Source organism: Homo sapiens, chromosome 2, assembly GCF_000001405.40.
Source record: "Homo sapiens chromosome 2, GRCh38.p14 Primary Assembly".
NCBI classification, from domain to species: domain Eukaryota; kingdom Metazoa; phylum Chordata; class Mammalia; order Primates; family Hominidae; genus Homo; species Homo sapiens.
In genome coordinates this window covers 208,406,718-208,426,659 of record NC_000002.12, presented here as the reverse complement: position 1 = coordinate 208,426,659, position 19,942 = coordinate 208,406,718, and the positions used below count along the sequence as shown (strand labels likewise).

Genomic DNA, 19,942 nt, shown 5'->3' with positions numbered 1-19,942 from the left:
CAAGATCTCATGAGACTAACTCACTATCAGAACAGCATGGGGGAAACCGCCCCCATGATCTCATTACCTCCCCTGCTTCCACCCTTGACATGTGGGGATTATGGGGATTACAATTCAGGATGAGATTTTGGGTGGGGACACAGCCAAACCAAATCAGTCATTTCCAGTAAAAGCAAATAAGTACTTGTTTTTTATATTGCTTTCTTTTTATTCCTTTGTTGTAGATACAAGCACTGTTTAACATAGAATGACATTAAAATGATAGTGTACTTCAAACAGAAGAGCAGTTTACATTTTCAATGTCTAGTTCTCCAAAAGCAACAATTGCACCCAAAACAAAATGTTACATTTAGAAAAATAGATGTTAGTAATTTTTCCTGGACAAGTGATCATTTATGATTTGAAATAAAATGTTAAATTCCAATCTGTCACATATTTGATAGCTAAGAGAAGCCCTACTTTGGTAATTTGTACTTTATTAAAAGCCCCTAAAGTTATAAATATAGATACCAATTTTAATGTCAAGACATGAAAATCTTCATAATTAACCCAATATTCACATTTATTCAATTTTTAAGTAACCATAAATCCATAAGTTAGCTTAATTTAAGAGGTATTCTGGAACTTCCAGCATGATGGAGTTGATGTGCTTTCCCCAATTCCTCTCAGTAAATATAAACAAAAGCCCTACACATTACATATAAAATGAATATAACAATATTCTAAAAGGCAGAGAGAAGATAGCAGAGCAGGCTACAGATCCTGGAAGACAACATGGTGGTAAATTCCCTGGGTTTTCTTTCTCCCTCATACATCCCCAACTTGGAGTAAAAGAAGCTGGAAACTCTGGAATATCAATAGGCACAGGCAGAAAAATTTAAAAGTCTCAAGAGAAGCCTGCTCTCTAGCCAAGGAAGAAAAAAGACAGCCTGGAAAAACACCACAGAACAAGCTGCAGCCCACAACTGGGGCTTAGCCTGGGAGGGTTTCTGGCTCTGCCCAGGGAAGAATTCAAAGACAAGCTGGTGGTGTTTGACAGCAACTTTTATAGAAGTGACAGTATACAGCAGCAGCAGAGGTACTATTCCTTGCAGAGCAGGGCCAGGCAGTCTGCCCAGAGTAGCAGCTCAAAGGCAGTTCTGCAGTCATATTTATACCCACTTATATGCAAATTAAGAGGTAGATTATATAGCAATTTCTTTTAAAAGGGTGGTAACTTCTGGGTCATTGGGTCATTGCTGTGGAAAGGGGTGGTAACTTTCAGTGTTGCCATGGCAATGGTAAACTGGCATGGAACACTGGAGGATGTGTCTTATGGAAAGCTGCTTCCACCATGTCCCTCTTTTAGCTAGTCCTCAATTTGGTCCAGTCTCTGAGCCCCACCTCCTACCTCAATATCTCAAGGGTTCAGCTTTTTACTCCATCTCATTACATGTGATTTGCAAGTCATAAATCATTGCCTTCACAATGATTATGACCTCCTTAAGGTCATAAAAATTATAATTTTTAAGAAGTATTCAATCTTATGTAATTATTTTGTTCTGCTTGATTTTGATTTGCAGCTTCATGAACCCATTAGTTTTTTCATTAGAGTTTTAGAAATTTTTATTTAGTCCATTGATCTCAATGGCTACAACAGGTCTCACCCGGTTTCCCAGTGGTCTTTTGATTTGCTTAGTTTCTTGGCCTCAGGCTTGGCCTCTTGGTTCAAAATCATTGTACAAAATAAATTCGTTATGCTCCTGTTGGTTTTACTTTGTATTATTTCCTTTAAACTTTGGACCTAACTGTGTCCTGCCCCAATTCTATAGAAACAACACTCCTGATAGAATAATGCTGGGCCAGTGTTTCAAATGATAACCAATACTTATGGAACCAACAAAATTGAACTTAACTGTGGACCCCAGGAAGATTTAGCCTGAGAGCCACTTTCTCCAGGTCAGGCTTGTTGCTCAAATGTGGCTGAAAGTGATTTGATACTGACTCCCAGTCGCCAATCACTTCTTCCCAATGTGAGACCATACCAACAATCCAGGACAGGTGCATCTCAGCACCAAGGGACAATTAAAACCAACCCACAGGAGAGTCGATCAGTGATGCTTTCAGAGAAATGTGGAAGTTGTAAGATCCAAACTAGAGTAACTTATGTCAAGCCTTGGCAAGTGGAGCAGGGCAGACCCATGAAGGCAGGGCTCTCACACATGATTTGCTGGATAATGGGAACTATCGCAAGAAATTTTTCCAAACCACAGTTTACTACATGGACAGCTTACACAAGGACAGCTAGCAACACAAGGACAGCTAACCACTTATACAAGAACACTTGCCTGACATGCTGTCTCACAAACCCAACCCAAAATGACAAGGGACCCCTGCAAACTCCCAGAATGGTTTAAGAGCAAAGTAAAGAACTAAAACATTCCCTCTCACTGGCCTGAAACAAGGCTTCTGGACACCCCCACCTTTTCTTCACAACCTGCATATAAGAAGCCTGGACTTCCACCCCTCCTGACAGTAACACAGTGTCCCTCTACTCCTCTGCTGGAGCGGGGGTCAGAGAAGACCTAGTGGAGAGTCAGCCTAGCAGTAACAAGGCTACTCCCATTGTGGTGACAGTGGAGGCCACATGAGGAGCAGCACTCATACCCCCACACATCAGGACCACGGAGCAGCCCACCATAGGTGTCAGTGATAGCTGACGGAGGAACCAAAACTTCTACTTCTATGAGCAGTAATAAGGTGATAATCCCACTTCCCCAGTTATATTAGTACCAGACCAAGTAGAGCAAACAAAATTACCAGAGACTAAAAGAGGGACATTATATCATAATACAAGGGTCACTCCATCAAGAAAACATGGCCCTCAAAAATGCGTATGCATCAAAAAAACAGAGCTGCAAAATATGTGAAGCAAAAACTGATAGAATGAAAGAAGAGATAAACAAATCCACTACTACAACTGGAAACTTCAACCCCCTTTCTCAGCAATTGATAGAACAACTAGACAGAAAATCAGCAAGGATATAGAACTCAACAATGCCATCAACCAACAGGATCTAATAGACATTTACTGAACGCTTCACCCAGCAATGGAGAATACACTTTCTTTCCAAATACATACAGAACAAATACCAAGGTAGACCATATCCTGAATCATAAAACAAATCTCAACAATTTTAAAAGAATTGCAAGCATACAGAGTTCTCAGACTGCAATGTTCTCAGACCACAATGGAATCAAACTGGAAATCAATAACAAAAAGATAACAAAACTCTCCAAACACTTAGAAACTAAACACACTTCTAAACAATCCATGGGTCAAAAAGAAAGTCTCAAGGGAAATCAAAAGTACATTGAACTGAATGAAAATACAAAACAACATATCAAAATTTGTGGGACAGACCTAAAGCAGTGCTAAGAGAAATGCATAGCACTAAATACATCCATTAGAAAAGAAGAAAAGTTTTGCATCAGTAATATAATCTCCCACCCCGAGAACCTACAAAAAGAAGAGTAAAATAAAACCAAAGCAAGTAGAAAGAAGGACATCATAAAGTTAAGAGGATAAATCAATGAAATTGACACAGAAAAACAATGCAGACTGTCAGTGAAACAAAGAGCTGGTGATTTAAAATTACCAATAATATTGACAAGCTTCTAGAAAGCCAACCAAGAAAAAAAAGGAAGAATACACAAATTAAACTATAGAAATGAAAAGGAGATAGTGGTTGCCAGGAGTTGAGGAGTGGGAAGTGCAAAGGAAGGGGGTTTGGCTACAAAGAACATCAGAAGGGATCCTTCTGGGAAGAAAGTGTTCTGTATCTTGACAGTTATCAATATTATTATCTTGGTTGTGATATTTTACTGTAGTTTTATAAGATGTTATCTTACAAGTGATAAGGGGGGAACTGGGTAAACGATACACATGTTCACTCTCGTTAGTTCTTCCAACTGCATGTGAATTTACAATTATCACCAAAAAAATCATTTTTTAAAAAAAGAAGCATTCTTCTCTCACTTAAAAAAACCACAAAATATTACCTCATTCTAGTAAATGAGAATCTACCACAGGTGATCATAAAAAAGGTATATAAAAATGTTTTAGATATGATTATTTTATAGCTTTACAAAAATATATCTTTCCTAAAGTGAAGTCTACTTAACGAATATAATATTCTCTTGGAAAGATATTATAACATTTATATATTAAGTTTTACTTGAATTTCAAAAGGATCACAAGGATATGTTTTTTAAAAATGAATTCCCCTCTAGGCAAGTGTGGTGGTTAATTTCATGTAGCAACTTCGATGGGCCATGGGTGCCCAGATTACATTTGTTTCCGGTGTGTCTATGTGTCTGTCTTCATCCAAGATTAACCTTTGAATCAGTAGACTCAGCAAAGCCGATTGCCCTCCCGCAATGTAACTGGGCCTCATCTAATTTGTTGAAGGTTTCAATTGAATAAAAGGCAGAGGAAGAAGGAATTTGCACCCTTTTTTTCCCTTCCTGGCAACATTTCATCTCATCTTCTCTAGCCCTCAAAATGAGATTTATGCCATCAGCTCCCCTGGTTCTCCGACCTTCAGACTTGGACTGAATTATACCACTAGCTTTCTTGGATCTTCAGTTTGCTTATAGCAAATCCTAGTACTTCTCAGCCTCCATATTGTGTAAATCACTTCCTCACAATAAATCTGTTTGTATGTATATCCCACTGGTTCTGTTTCCTGAAGAACTCTAATACAGCTAGCCATTCTATTTTCCGTAGTCTGAGAGAAAACTGAGCTGGTCTATAAGAAGGAATTTTGCTTGGAATTCAGGGTTTCTCATATACTCCAGTGTGAATGGGCCAAGTAACAAATCAGTTTTATGAACTTTCTACTCCATGTTTTCCCACAGGCCTCAAAAAAGTTCACATGAACTTATAATTATTTTATTTTCCTTTTCTTAAATGCCAATGTCACTCTCACGAGTGTGATTCCCTTGAGAGTAGCTGAAGCTTTTATGTTCTAAAGGAGGTTTAACAATGAAAACATGTTTTTAATTATTTAGAATGTATTGTCTGTAATACTGCTTTAAAATAAAGGAATCTTATAATAAACATTATAGTTTTGAGAAAAATATTATTGAATCATCTACCTTTATGAACCATGAAACTATTTTTGTTTAGTCCTTTTTTAATTCAACATAAAAAAAGAAAAACAGGTAAGATATACATCATAAATATATATACAAACACACACAAGGAAGCATGCATACTCACACAGACACTACACACACACACACACACACACCCCCAATATGAAAATGTCTTGGCTTCTTAAGTTTTTAATCCTTTCATATAATGAACTCTAATTCAAACTAAATCTGAAGATCAGTTGATTTTGCACATTTGGCTACAAATTCTAAAAATCCCCACGACCCTATTCATGCAAGAAGCAAACTGAAAATGATTTAAGAAAAACTTGTATCTATCTGTGGTATGGCTCATACACAGTTAAATGAAAACATTAAGAATGCGATCACATTGAGCTGTCATCCTTCAAAGCTATTACTCATCCTTTTCTCTTATATTTTAATTAACTACATGTGAATTTATTATAGATATTTATAGAGCTCCAATTATACTTAGAAACAAAGCACGGTTAAATTTTTAAGAGTCATATAATGATTACAGAGACAAAAAACCAATTAGTAGTTGCCAGGTGTTGCAGGGAAGGGAGAAGTAAGTGGTTGTGGCTATGAAAGGATTCCTGTGCTGGAACTATTGTATATCTTCACTGTGGTGGTGATCACATGCAACTTTACATGTGATAAAACTGCATAAACTAAATACATGTGCACACACACAAGTATGTATAAAACCAATGGAATCTGCATAAGACAGAGGGATTATATCAATGTCAATTTCCTGATTGTAATATTGTACTACAGTAATGAAAGATGTTACCATTGAAAGAAACTACGTGAAAGGTATTTAGTGTCTGTATTACTTCTTACACTGCATGTGAATCTATAATTCTCTCAAAATACAGATTTTTAAAAATTCATCTGCTAAAGTTTTTAAGGAATTGTTTAGTTTAATGACTATAACCATGAAAAACACCAATTAAATTTTAAGTTAATTATAAATTAAGTGCAATATAGTATTTTGAGCTAAAGTAAGGTCAAATATATTAAGACTACTTCATTAGCAAAAAAAAATTGAGAGCAACATTCTGCTGGCAAATATGTGTGGAAAAAATAGCCTCATACAATGCTCATGGGAATGTAAAATGTTTCCACTGCTATGGAGAAGAAATAGGCAAAATTGAAAAAGTCCTAAATGTACATTTATCTTTTGACTTCACTTTTTTTTTCTTTTTTTTTTAATTATTATACTTTAAGTTTTAGGGTACATGTGCACAATGTGCAGGTTTGTTACATATGTATACATGTGCCATGTTGCTGTGCTGCACCCATTAACTCGTCATTTAGCATTAAGTATATCTCCTAATGCTATCCCTCCCCACTCCCCCCACCCCACAACAGTCCCCGGTGTGTGATGTTCCCCTTCCTGTGTCCATGTGTTCTCATTGTTCAATTCCCACCTATAAGTGAGAACATGCGGTGTTTGGTTTTTTGTCCTTGCAATAGTTTGCTGAGAATGATGGTTTCCAGCTTCATCCATGTCCCTACAAAGGACAGGAACTCATCATTTTTTATGGCTGCATAGTATTCCACAGTGTATATGTGCCACATTTTCTTAATCCAGTCTATCATTGTTGGACATTTGGGTTGGTTCCAAGTCTTTGCTATTGTGAATAGTGCCGCAATAAACATACGTGAGCATGTGTCTTTATAGCAGCATGATTTAAAAAACAAGCAATGGAGAAAGGATTCCCTGTTTAATAAATGGTGCTGGGAAAACTGGCTAGCCATATGTAGAAAGCTGAACTGGATCCCTTCCTTACACCTTATACAAAAATTAATTCAAGATGGATTAAAGACTTAAATGTTAGACCTAAAACCATAAAAACCCTAGAAGAAAACCTAGGGAATACCATTCAGGACATAGGCACGGGCAAGGACTTCATGTCTAAAACACCAAAAGCAATGGCAACAAAAGCCAAAATTGACAAATGGGATCTAATTAAACTAAACAGCTTCTGCACAGCAAAAGAAACCACCACCAGAGTAAACAGGCAACCTACAGAATGGGAGAAAATTTTTGCAACCTACTCATCTGACAAAGGGCTAATATCCAGAATCTACAATGAACTCAAACAAATTTACAAGAAAAAAACAAACAACCCCATCAAAAAGTGGGCGAAGCACATGAACAGACACTTCTCAAAAGAAGACATTTACACAGCAAATAAAAACACATGAAAAAATGCTCAGCATCACTGGCCATCAGAGAAATGCAAATCAAAACCACAATGAGATACCATCTCACACCAGTTAGAATGGCAATCATTAAAAAGTCAGGAAACAACAGGTGCTGGAGAGGATGTGGAGAAATAGGAACACCTTTACACTGTTGGTGGGACTGTAAACTAGTTCAACCATTGTGGAAGTTGGTATGGCGATTGCTCAGGAATCTAGAACTAGAAATACCATTTGACCCAGCCATCCCATTACTGGGTATATACCCAAAGGATTGACTTCACTTTTAGGGATTTACATTTAAGTTATAGCTTCAACAATATGAAAATACATAAAGACTATACAGTGTAGTATTATTTATACATGTAAAATATTAGATAGAAAAAACTAAATGCCCACACATTTGGTACTTCTACAAAATAGGCTATTATGAAGCTATAAAAAAGAGTGAGAAAACTCTATGACCTAACATGATTTCCAGGATGTATTGTGAAGTAAGAAAAACAAAATGCAGAGAGTATAAATTGAATGCTACCTTTTGTGCAAAAAAAGAGGGAAAATATACAGATACATTTTTGTAAAACAAAACTCAAAGATAAACCAGAAAACTATGAAATTTTTTATCTTATTTCTCCCTTTAAGTGGAATATTTCTAACTACCTCATTTAGTATAATTTTTATGATAATATTTTCTAAGTACCTTTTTTCAAAGTAAATGTTCCCTTTTATGCTTATTTTATTAAGAATTTCTTTCATGGATGGGTGTTAAACTTTATCACTTTTTTTCTGTATTTGCTGGAATGATATTTGTGGTGTATTATCATTCTCATACATTGTTGGAGTTGGTTTGCTATTATTTTGCTTTTGATTTTTTCATTTATACTCACTAATAAAATTTGCTAAAATTCTTCCTCCTTAAAAAAAAAAATTGAGTGCAAAAGAAATCATGCATTAGGTAGTCCCTCACAACTTATATAGGCTCCTGAAAATATGAGACATTCCCTTTATCGTCCTTTGATAAGTATATGGTATATTTCTTCATTTATTTAATGTTTATATTTTTAAGCCTTAGTAAAGCTTTCTTTTTTGTCATATAGGTTCAGCATAATTCTTCTATTCATTTCTAGTTATTTTATTTTTGATAGCTATTACTAATAGGATATTTTTATTATGCTAAGTGGTAGTTTTTTTACACATAAGGAAGCTATTTTACTTCCTATTTTTAATGTCATTCTTGGTGACATTACTGAACTCTTTTTAGTTTTAATAGTTTCTAGTAAATTCTCATGGCTTTCTTATAAAAGTATTGCTAACATCTGCAAATAGCAGAATCAACAGAATAAAGCCAAAATTGCTCATAAGGTATTTGTATTTTAACATAGTTAAAATTGATTTTTCATGTTTTGCAATGATAAGCAAGACTGATCTACTTCTGTGATATTTTGCCTTTCTTTCTCCCCTCAAGATATGGCTGACTTGCACAGTTACTCCTGGATTTTCTATGTAGCTTTTCTTATTTTATCCAGCTTATTCTAATGATGTTCTCCTCCTGTTAGACCATAGATTCCCACGTTTGTAGCCGGGCATGGTGGCATGTGCCCATAATCCCAGCTACTCGGGAGGCTGAGGCAGGAGAATCGCTTTAATCCGGGAGGAGGTTGCAGTGAGCTGATATTGTGCCATTGCACTCCAGCCTGGGCGAGAGGGTGAGACACCATCACAAAAAAAAAAAAAAAAAAAAAAAAAAAAAGATTCCCACCTTTGAACAGTACTTCTCTCTTAACAAGTACTTGTGTTTTTATGACCAGCTTTATTGTAACAAACAGACCTGGAATTTTTCAAATAAATAAATCCATGTATTTTCAACACCATTTCTTGCAAATGAACTAGATTGCCTCCAAGAGAAAAAACATCTAGCTACACCCCAGTTACAATTTTTGGCATAGGAATTTTCTCTCTCTTCTTTCTTTATACACATGCCTAGTTACTCGGCTTCCAGGATTATAGCAAAAAAGACTAATTTTACAATGTATGTAAAATGGATCCTTAATGCATTTCGAGAGATAAATAATGAAATCTCGGAAGGACATTTTGGCAGCTTTAACAAATTTCCTGAAACTAATATGAGATTCATCCATCACTACTGAATTATAAACCCCTTCTAAAAAAGAAAAACAAAAGTACCAAAGATCAAGAGACTCTTGTTACCTAAAACTAAACTCTTTTTTTCTTCATCCCTTCTTTCTTTTCCAATCTTCATTGAGAGGTACATTGCATTAGTCAAGGATCTCTAGAGGGACAGAACTAATGGAATAGATATATATATAAAGGGGAGTTTATTAAGTATTAACTCACCAATCACAAGGTTCCACAATAGCCATCTGCAGGCTGAAGAGCAAGGAGAGCCAGTCTGAGTTCCAAAACTGAAGAACTTGGAGTCCAGTGTTCAAGGGCAGGAAGCAACCAGCACGGGAGAAAGATGTAGGCTGGGAGGCTAGGCCAGTCTCTCTTTTCACATTTTTCTACCTGTTTATATTCTAGCCATGCTGGCAGCTGATTGTGACCACCCAGCTTAAGGGTGGGTCTGCCTTTCCCAGCCCACTGACTCAAATGTTAATCTCCTTGGGAAACACCCTCACAGACACACACAGGATCAATACTTTGTATACTTCAATCCAATCAAGTTGACCCTCAGTATTAACCATCACATACAGAACGGCAGATAGCTTGAAAAAGTAGTTCACCTAATTTCAACATTTTAACCCTGAGCTCAGAAAAATCATAGTAAGCTTTATCATGGCTAAGCCATAGTAGGGCAAGTCAAAGTATGCGGCTTCTATTTCTGACAAAAATTTAAAGAACTGATGATAATTAAGTTCGTAAGGGTGAACAAAGTTGGCCATTGACATTATTGGTTCAATAACACATGATATATTCAAATATTTCCTACAAAGTGCTTGCAGATAAATAATACAATAAATAACCATTGATTTTAAATGCTTTATATTTTCATGAGCTTTTGATTGGTCTTCCACACAAAGGTTTAACACCATCATTTTTAACACGTCTTAGCACACTCCACTTCAGGTTGAACTAAATTAGTCATTTTCTCAAATTCTTTGAAAATGTTCTCCCACACAGACTATTTTTCAAGGCAAACGCTTCAGTAAACCAAACTCAGCATTGACTCCTCAGATAAACAACTGATTAATATCAGTAACAAATGTTACTGATATTACTCATCAAGGGCCAAGGAAAACCCCTTAAAATCATTTGCTTTGTTTTTTAATTGATTATTGATGTTGCTACAACATCCTCAACTCTATTCTTTTCAAAAGGTAAGTAGTTTTAAACTAGCTATTTTCTCTAGACACATTTCATGCCTGCTACAATCAAACATGATTTAACCCATTTATTAATTCACCATTGGTAAATGGCTTTCCTCGCTTAGCTAACAAATGAGAACCTTACTTTGAACTTTACTTTTATTGCAGCCTCATTTTTTAAAAGAAGTTATGTGATATCTCATCTTAAATTTTCTAATTTTTTCTGACTGAATGCTGTGCTATCAGCTGGGAATACTGTAATGATTGCTTAATCTGGGAATGACAACATATATTGTATTATATTAGCACAGCTGTAGTATCACTGAATAATAAACACAATGCTTTTCCATTTTATTTGATAGCAAAAAAATCCACATACACTATGCCTTTAGAAGCAGAATATTTAGTCCATTTTTCTCTTCTTATTTTGACATGATGGGTTCTCCCTGGTAGCGAAAAAAGTAAAGTGAAAATGTAGAGCAATACATGTAGCACTTGAAATATGTCAAGTTATGACTGAGTCACTGCAATTCAGAACGCACCAAACAGCCATGCGAAGCGGTAGTAGGTGAATGAATGTGGCTGTGTTCAAATAAAATTTTATGAACACTGAAATTTTAATTTTATTTAATCTTCACACTTACAAAATATTGTCCTTTTAAAATACAATAAAATCCCCTTTTAAATGTTTTAAATCTTAGAATAGTTTTAGATTTACAGAAAAAAAATTTATTTATATAAGATAGTACAGAGTTCCCATAAACACTCAGTTTCCCCTTATTAAAATCTTAGATTAGTAGGTATATTTGTCATAATTAATGAATCAATATTGATCTATTGTTATTCACTAAGCTGATACTTTATTCAGATTTTCTTAGTTTTTACCTAACGTCCTTTGTCTGTTCTGGGGTCTCATCAAGACACCATATCATGTTTAGTTGTCATGTCTCCTTAGGTTCTTCTAGGTTGTGATAGTTTCTCAGGCTTTCCTCATTTTTATTTATCTTAATAGTTTTGAGAAACACTAGTCAGACATTTTGTTCCACAGCTGGGTTTTTTTTTATGGTTTTCTCATTATGGAACTGGGCCAATATGTTTTGAAAGGGAAGACCACAGAGGTAAAGTGCCACTCACCTATCAAGAGTGCAAGCTATCAACATGACTTCACTCTTAATGTTAACCTCGATCCTTCTTCTGATTTTTATTCAATGACTTAAAAATGTGAAAATCATTCTTAGCTTATGAGGCATAGAAAAACAGATGATGGAATGAATTTGGTTAGCAGACCATAGTTTGTCCATTTTTGTTCTAGTGGATAAAAATTTTGGAATAAAGTTTGAGAACTGAGGATGTATCAACCCAAAATTACTTATTCTAATAGATATTCTAATAGAAAAAAAAAACTGAAAAAAAATTCACTATCCTCATTAGCTGACAAAGGACTCAAAAGATAAACAGAAAAAGAAATAGTACAATGGTTATTGCTTTTATTGAACTTGGGGGAATACTATGAGGAATGTAACCATGCAGGATATATTATATCTACACATGCACAAGACTGAATACAAAAATATCATTAACTACTATTGTCACCAGATATATTAAATGGGCTCCACTTTTATTAAATTATATTTTTATATTAAACTTTTATTATATTAAACTCCACTTTTAGTTGCTTTTGACAGAGCAGGAGCACTGTCATCTTGGACAAACACCACCATTTTAAGTTCTAGCTCCCTTTCTAACCTCAAGCATTTCAAGGAAATCACTTCTCTTCTAAACAAGCAACCAGAAAGAGCAGACAGTAAAACAAAGATAAGACAGCTTGGGCACAGAAGGAGGGGGAAAGTCTCTTGAGTAACCACCAAACTTCACACTCATACAATGAGCCCCAGTAAAACAGTGGGCCCTAGTAAGCATATTCCTTTCCCATTAGGTGCACTAAGATAGGGAAGCTAAAAGCAGACGTGGGGGATATGCCTGCAGCTACAGGAAGATGTACGGGAACAAACACAAAAACTCTCCCTCCCAGATAAGCAAGACAAAGAGGCACAGAAGCAGTCCAAGCCTGTGATAAGCTCTCCCACCCTGAACCCTTAAATACTCTTAGTCTGCAAGAGAGCATGCTCCTGACCAAAACTGGCCAGAAGCCCGTCTCAGGTTTATTCTGTCTTTGACTGTTGAGCCACTTTTTGTGTTTCTTTCTTCCTTCTTCAACCCTTACACTTTTAGTTGTAACATTATTCAAGGTGGCTAATTAGGTAATACAAATAAATAAATGGTTTTCAGCAACACATAGAAAACTTCAAGAATGTAAAAATAATACATGTTCCATTTAGTCAATATTTTACATTCCATATGTTAAAAATGTTCAAAAATATAAAAATAATGGTTAATGCAGGAATAATTAAGTGTAGTTCTTGCACTATTGAAATCATAACAGAGCTCAAATTCCATTTTGAAGTAACTCACTTTATAGTTCCTGAGCACTGAATCATTTTTACACTTTCATTCCTTAAAGCCCAATTTTTCTTTCTGTACATCAGTGACACTTGATAGTGTCAAATGCTGTCTCTGGTAAGGTTGGCTCTTGGAGTTTCTGTAATCATGACTTCTATGTAGCTGTGTCTGAAATTGCTAGAGTGGCATCACATGGGGAGCACATACCATGATAATAACACTCCAAGATGAAAGGAGGATCACTTTCTCAAGATTCAAGTGGTGGCTCTCTGTCATTTGTAATATAATTTAATGAGTTCAAATTGCCAGTCTTCTACATTGTTTATAAACATTCTGTGTGTGTGTGTGTGTGTGTGTGTGTGTGGTCACTTTTTAAACAAATAAAGATGAAATAACTACATCTGTGTTTATATTTTATATGAGCAAATAAATTATGGAGAAAGAGGTGGAAGATACACAGTATTATCTGAGTGGGATTGAGAGGAGATGGGACAGTAGTGAGAGAGAAAGAGAATGAGTACATAAGACAGGAAAATAGTCATAGGAAAATGGAAAAAAGTGGATTGTATAATGTCAAGTGAAAATATATATAAAATTTCATTTATGACATAATTGAAAGTATATATTAATTGAATAGGCACATAGACAAAGACTAAATAGAAATGTGGGTAGTTTCTGCTTTTGATCCCTGTTATATGTATATAGTAAAAACACTCTTTAAAGCTAGCTCTGTTGATAACCTGAAAAAATATGAATCTCTGGTATGCTGGAACTCTAAACCTTATACTCTTGACATGATAAAATGAGACCCATAATTTTGCCACTTATCTGTGGCCACCCAGCTAATTTATAGTAAAACGTGGACTACAGCCAGGTGTCCTATCTCCCAGTACAGTGTCCTCACACAGCACTACCTCTGCCTTTCAAGGCTATTCTATGGCAGCTCTACTCAGTGATGGAGTTCATTTCATGGGGAAATGAAATCAGCCAATGATTATCACTCTAGAAATAGTGTTGACCTGTTTTTGGACATGACAAGTCATCAAGAAGACTGTTTCCTGCCAGCAATTGGCAATGAGAATCTGAGATTACAGAAAATCAGGCTGAAGGCCAAATTATAGATCTACACATAATAGCAGCAGTGGCCAATGTTCTATTCATTTCTAACTAGTGTCACTCCCTCTAGGCAACACATCTGTCATGCAGCACAGCTGTGCGATCCTGGGAGACAATAACAACTGGGAAAAGTAAAGTGGTAATATCCATCAGCAAGAAGGAAACAAATTTTGAGCAAAAGCAATGAGGAAGTTAGATATTGATCAAGTACTTATATTAATAAATGTAATATTATAACAGCTATCAGTGTTATGAAGAAAATGTCCAATTGCTATCAGAAAAAATGTGGGTTCTGAAGAAGAAGCCGTAAGAAATAAAAGGAAGAGAAAATGGCCTCGCAAAATTCTCACATACATACACACCCCATTTAAAAGCCTTCAGGAGTTCTCACTAATGCTTAGAAATAATCTTAATCTAGTAATCATTCCATTAAAAATAACTTAACTCATCTGCTAATAAAAGAAGAGGAAAGAGCTGACATCTTTTGTTATCAGGCACCTTTAAGCTTTTTGTTTGTATATGTTTAATTCAAGACTCACATTCTATGAGTAGATGTCACTATAATGCTTATTCTATGAGTAAGTCCTATTTTACAGTGGAGCCAGTGGAGACAACCAAGAGATGAAATTAACGACTAAAGTCACACGGCTGTTTAAAAATTTAATGAATAACCCAGAGAAAAGAAAAAAACAAAACAGAGGGGAAAGAAAGGACAAGATGGGTTCCAGTAGATGACAAAACCAATTGAAGTTCAAGACAGGAAAATAAGTGAGATGCATGAATGCCTGCTGAAAATATTTTATTTTGTCACAAAGAATTGAGGAAGTTCTGGGAATATGAAACCTACTCTCTGTGCATTGGCAAGGAAGAGCCACACCTGGGACCCTTCCATCTCACTGCCTCTGGTCTACCAGGGCTGAAGAGACTACTCACAATTAATGCAGCCACCAGGAAGCCCATTCCTCAGGGATTTAAGGCTTCCTTATAACTAGAAGACAAATGGAAATAGTCCTCGTTGTCAAGAGAAAAGAATGAGAACAAACCAACTCTCTTATCTTTAACTACAATAGTGTTTGTGGCAATAAACACAGTATAGAGATAATCAAATGTTGAGTTTCCATTTCATTCTGCCAAAGACAGTCCCTAGTTTCCACTTTGGAGAAGCTGCCTATATTCTAGGACTTGGTATGATCTCAGCTCACTGCAACCTCTGCCTCCAGGGTTCAAGCGATCCTCCCACCTGAGCCTCCCAAGTAGCTGGAACTACAGACGTGTGCCACCATGCCCAGCTAATTTTTGTATTTTTAGTAGAGACGGTGTTTCACCATGTCGGCCAGGCTGGTCTCGAACTCCTGACCTCAAGTGATCTGCCCGCCTTGGCCTCCCAAAGTGCTGGGATTACAGGCATGAGCCATTGTGCCCGGCTGTCCTCATTCTTAACTCCATCAGTAATAGTTTTGACAGTTCTGTTTATTATCACCACAATTTGTAATTAACACATGCGTTGAGATGCAGAGTGCAGGCCTACTTGATTTATTGATTTATCCCATTTTATGTCTATACCCCACTCCTACTTCTCTACCTCCCATATACAAGCATTTATGTAAGACACACACACACACACACAATCTTTTATCTGAATATGTTCATAAAACATATATTACTGTTTTATGTGCATGTATTTTAATGTATGTAAATGATATCATACCATATATCCTATTGTTTCTGTCACATGTTATCCTGTTTTTACGATCTTGTCCATGCTGATTTGTGCACATTTAAGCCATTGCTTTTTATTGCTACACAATACCCCATTATAAACACCCAGATTGCCCCTAATTCTCTAACACCACAGAATTACTGCAAGAATCATTATAGACCTGGGTGAGAAATTCCCTGGGATAGAGACTCGGGGCGGAGATTGCTGGGACAGAGGACATGTGTATACATAATGTCACTAAGCAGTGCCCAGCTGATCTCCACAATGAGGGTACCAGTAGGAGGGGTGGGCCCCAGAGGTAAAAGTCAGAGTATAAATCATGGCTGCTTGTGTGAGTTGAGTATATTATCTAACATCTCATAGCCCCATTTTCTCATTTATAAAAATGTGAACAATTACAGTGCCCATCTCATAAAGTTACTGTGATAATTAAATGAGAGAATCAAGTACTTAGCACAGTATTTGGTACTTGGCAAGTAGCATTACTGATTACCATTTTTCCACACCTAGAAAGAGATTTCTGATTTTCTAGTAGGCTCTGAATCTTCATGCTGGAAGGTCAACAGTAGGAATTCTAAGACCTGGCCATTTTTTCGCAGCATGGGACTCCTCTGATGGGCACCTTTCCCCCAAGGTTCTCCTTTGAGTTGGAAAAAATTTTGTCAGATTTGCTTGCCGGTCTGAGGTTACCCCTGTCCAATCCTTCTCCCTCTCCCTTTCAACTTTCACAAGCATTACCTCCTCCCCTAATAAACCTCTAGCACCCCAATTCCATCCTACAGTCTGTTACCAGGAGGATCCACTAACACAGTAAAGAAAATACTGAACATGTTTATATAGTGGTCCTCATTACCATGTGATAATCTGACTATAGAAAATGCATTGCTGGGCTCTGTAATGATGTATGAATGCACGGGTTTTGAACTGTGCTTTGAGACAAAAGTATATCTTTACCAACCAGAAACCACAGAGACCCTTAAAACAATTGATGAGCACTGGTCTATATCATCTATTTTATGGTGTGATCCAGTGTTTACTGAATACTAAATATTTACTCTACACAAGCTCATTCTGCCTGGGTGAGTTCCCTTTGGTTTTCTATCAATATGTTATAATTTTTTTGAAATATCTGTGTTAGCTAGCAATATATTCATCATTAACTGGGTATGCTAAAAAAATTAATAAAGCCAGCCTCATTTTTCATAAATACCTTGTCTCTCATACTTAAGCTAATAATATCAGCAATTGATATTTGAAGTAAATAATACCCAGAATGTATTTAGTCTCTATTATACTCCAGGTTAACTAATGGAATTTCAGAGTAGAGAATGACTGTAACCTAAAAGTAATAAACCAAGACTTATAGAATTAAAAGAATCTTAGCCCAATATGACTCTTTTGAAGATGAAGAAACTGAAGGTCATAAAATGTATCAGTTTGTCAATGTAAATCACTTGAATTTAACCTCCAGACTTTAAAATGTCAAAAATTCGGCAAATGTAATATAATACCACAAACTGTCATTTTATGCAATTCATAATCTATAGATATAAATGGAAATCCGTGTAAAGCAATGATTTTCAACCAGGAGTGATTTTGCCTTCCAAACTATGTACAGCAACATCTAGAGACATTTTTGGTTGTCTCAGTTAGGGGGAGGGGGGCTACTGGCATCTAGTGGATAGAGGAGACAGGGTGGCGCTAAATACTCTGCAATATACAGGACAACACACCCACCCCCAACAAAACAAAGAATTATTATATATGTCCCAAAATGTCAACAATGCCAAGGTTGGGAAATCCTGGTTTAAAGTTATAGAAGTATTCAATGTCCTGATTGTTTTATTGAAAGCAAAAGAAAATATTCTGCCCACAATCCCATGGTGATTTATTTATTATTTATTTCTCTCTCTCTCTCTCTCTCTCTCTTTCTCTCTCTCTCTCTCTTTCCTTTCTTCTCTTTCTTTTCTTTCTTTCCTTCCTTCAAGACAGGGTCTCACTTTGTTGCCAGGCTGGAGTGCAGTGGCATGATCATAGCTCAGAGCAGCCCCGAACTCCTGGGCTCAAGAGATCCTCCCGTCTCCCAAAGTTCTGGGATTACAGGCGTGAGCCACCACACCAAGCCTTTTTTTTTTCTTATTGTACTAAATAATACCTCCCCATTTCCTTACAAAAAGTAATCTAGAACACTAAATAAAATAAACGGTTAGAGTTCAGTTGCCTCTTGTATATAAGATGCCATTTTTAAGCATATTATCCAAATATCTTATGAGATAAAAATGTAGGAAGTATAGTAGAGATTACCAGAGTTCTATAACGATCATGGAAATTTATCACCAAATTTTTTTCCATGCATTCATATTCCTTCTGGTAACTTGATGAATTTTTTCAGGTTTAAGTGTATCTTACTTTCAGCTATCCATTGCTAATATTATTAGTCAATGTATGACACACAAATTGTTTAGTTTATTAACAAAATTTATTTATTAACAAAATAAATCTACATGAAACATCTTGGTCATGTTAAGTAAAGCCCACTTTTAGCGTGGCACCTAGCCTAGAAATCCCCTTTAAGTTTTAATGTCTCTGGTTATGACTTTAACAGATAGGTTTTTTAAACTGCACTTTTAGAATAATTGAAATTTAAACTAGTCATCTGAAAGCCGAGAACATAGTATTAAGTTTAGACAGTATCAACACATAAATCACTGCTTTGAATTCTCACGGTGAAATAATTTTTTATTGGGCCTTCATTTGACGGTCTAGGTGCACCCCCTACCGAACCGGAGAGAAATACCTTGATTCGGTTTAAATTCACAGGGCTCTTGAACTGCATAACATCCACCACTACACGCATCTCTCTAGCTCATCTGAAAAGCTGACTGTAAACCCTACATTTGATTTGACTCAAAAAAAAAAGTGCGTATGAATTGTGCCTTGCACATTAAAGAGGCTTCATTGTGAAAGATCGCCCAGAAAATCTCTAAATGATATTAGCAGTACAAAAGTGACAGCCACCGCTTAACATTAACAAATGAGCTGTATTTTGGTATTTTTATTCTGTCTCCTAACTTGAATGTATGTGATTCTGTATCACAGACAGCCAATTATTCTTTCAGATAGTGGTCACAATCGATCCTGTAAATTTAAATTCTCAAAAGCGATGGTAAATTACCAGCAGACAAAAGTCATTTCGATTAATTAAATGGGGACCACGGAGTTTAAGAGTAAGAAAAGTTCCTTCACCTTCCCAGCCTCACACTCTTGATCCACGACTCCGCTGTTCGGAAATATCCCCTTACTTTGCGGATGCCAGGATGCTGGTCTAAACAGTGCCGGCCCCAGGACATCACTCCACTAAAGCAGATCTTTGAAGCTCCCTCCACTAATTGCCTGCCAGCACCTGCCGGGTACGCCTCGGTGCGTGCCGGGGCGTTTGTGGACGTGTGAACATGAATGAGCTCTCGCGCGCACCTGGCCTCCGTGTCGCTAAAGCTGAGTCCCCGCCGGAGGCTCCGCGAAAACAGGTGTCGCGGAGCACTGGCTCTTACCTGGGCTCTGGCCAGGAGGCAGCTGCCGAGCATTAGCCAACCCCAGACGTGGAGCGACGCCCCCAGCCCGGCCATGCCCGGAACGGCTGTAGGAAGAAGCAGGGACCCTCCTCCAGAGCCCGGGAGAAGCTTCCAAGTTGCCAACTTGGCTGGCCCAGAGCAAACTTGTGGCCAGTAACGACGCGCAGCTGGGGTGGTCGGGCCCGGGCCACCGGCCGAGGGTGCTTGGGGTCTTGTCGCCGGAGCCACGCGCTTCTCAGAACCCGCGTGCTGCTGCGCCGCGGCGCGAGGTTGGTCTTGTCTTCCGGAGAGACTGGCCCGAGTCCTGGACTTGACTCGCAGCCCCGCGCCGCCTGCGGCGGGAAGGGGGCGGCTCCCGCCCCAGGCGGATCCGGGTGCGC

The 19,942-nt window shown here is 37.1% G+C and overlaps 1 protein-coding gene across 9 annotated transcripts in view; it reads right to left on the bottom strand.

Annotated features, from left to right (window-relative positions):
* Nucleotides 1–19,942, bottom strand: part of PTH2R (parathyroid hormone 2 receptor) — a 134,815-nt gene that overhangs the window by 67,847 nt on the left and 47,026 nt on the right. The window contains exon 2 of one of the 9 annotated variants that reach the window (NM_001371905.1): nucleotides 11,074–11,140. The exons of 6 other annotated variants lie outside the window; for them this stretch is intronic. Coding sequence is in view for 1 of the 3 variants with exons in the window: in NM_005048.4 (NP_005039.1) it covers nucleotides 19,542–19,616 (75 nt within the window). In the remaining 2 variants the exon portion in view is untranslated. Of the gene's footprint in view, nucleotides 1–9,723; nucleotides 9,800–11,073; nucleotides 11,141–19,541; nucleotides 19,869–19,942 lie in introns of those variants that run through there. 2 more of the 9 variants (NM_001371906.1, NM_005048.4) reach the window with 2 other exon arrangements.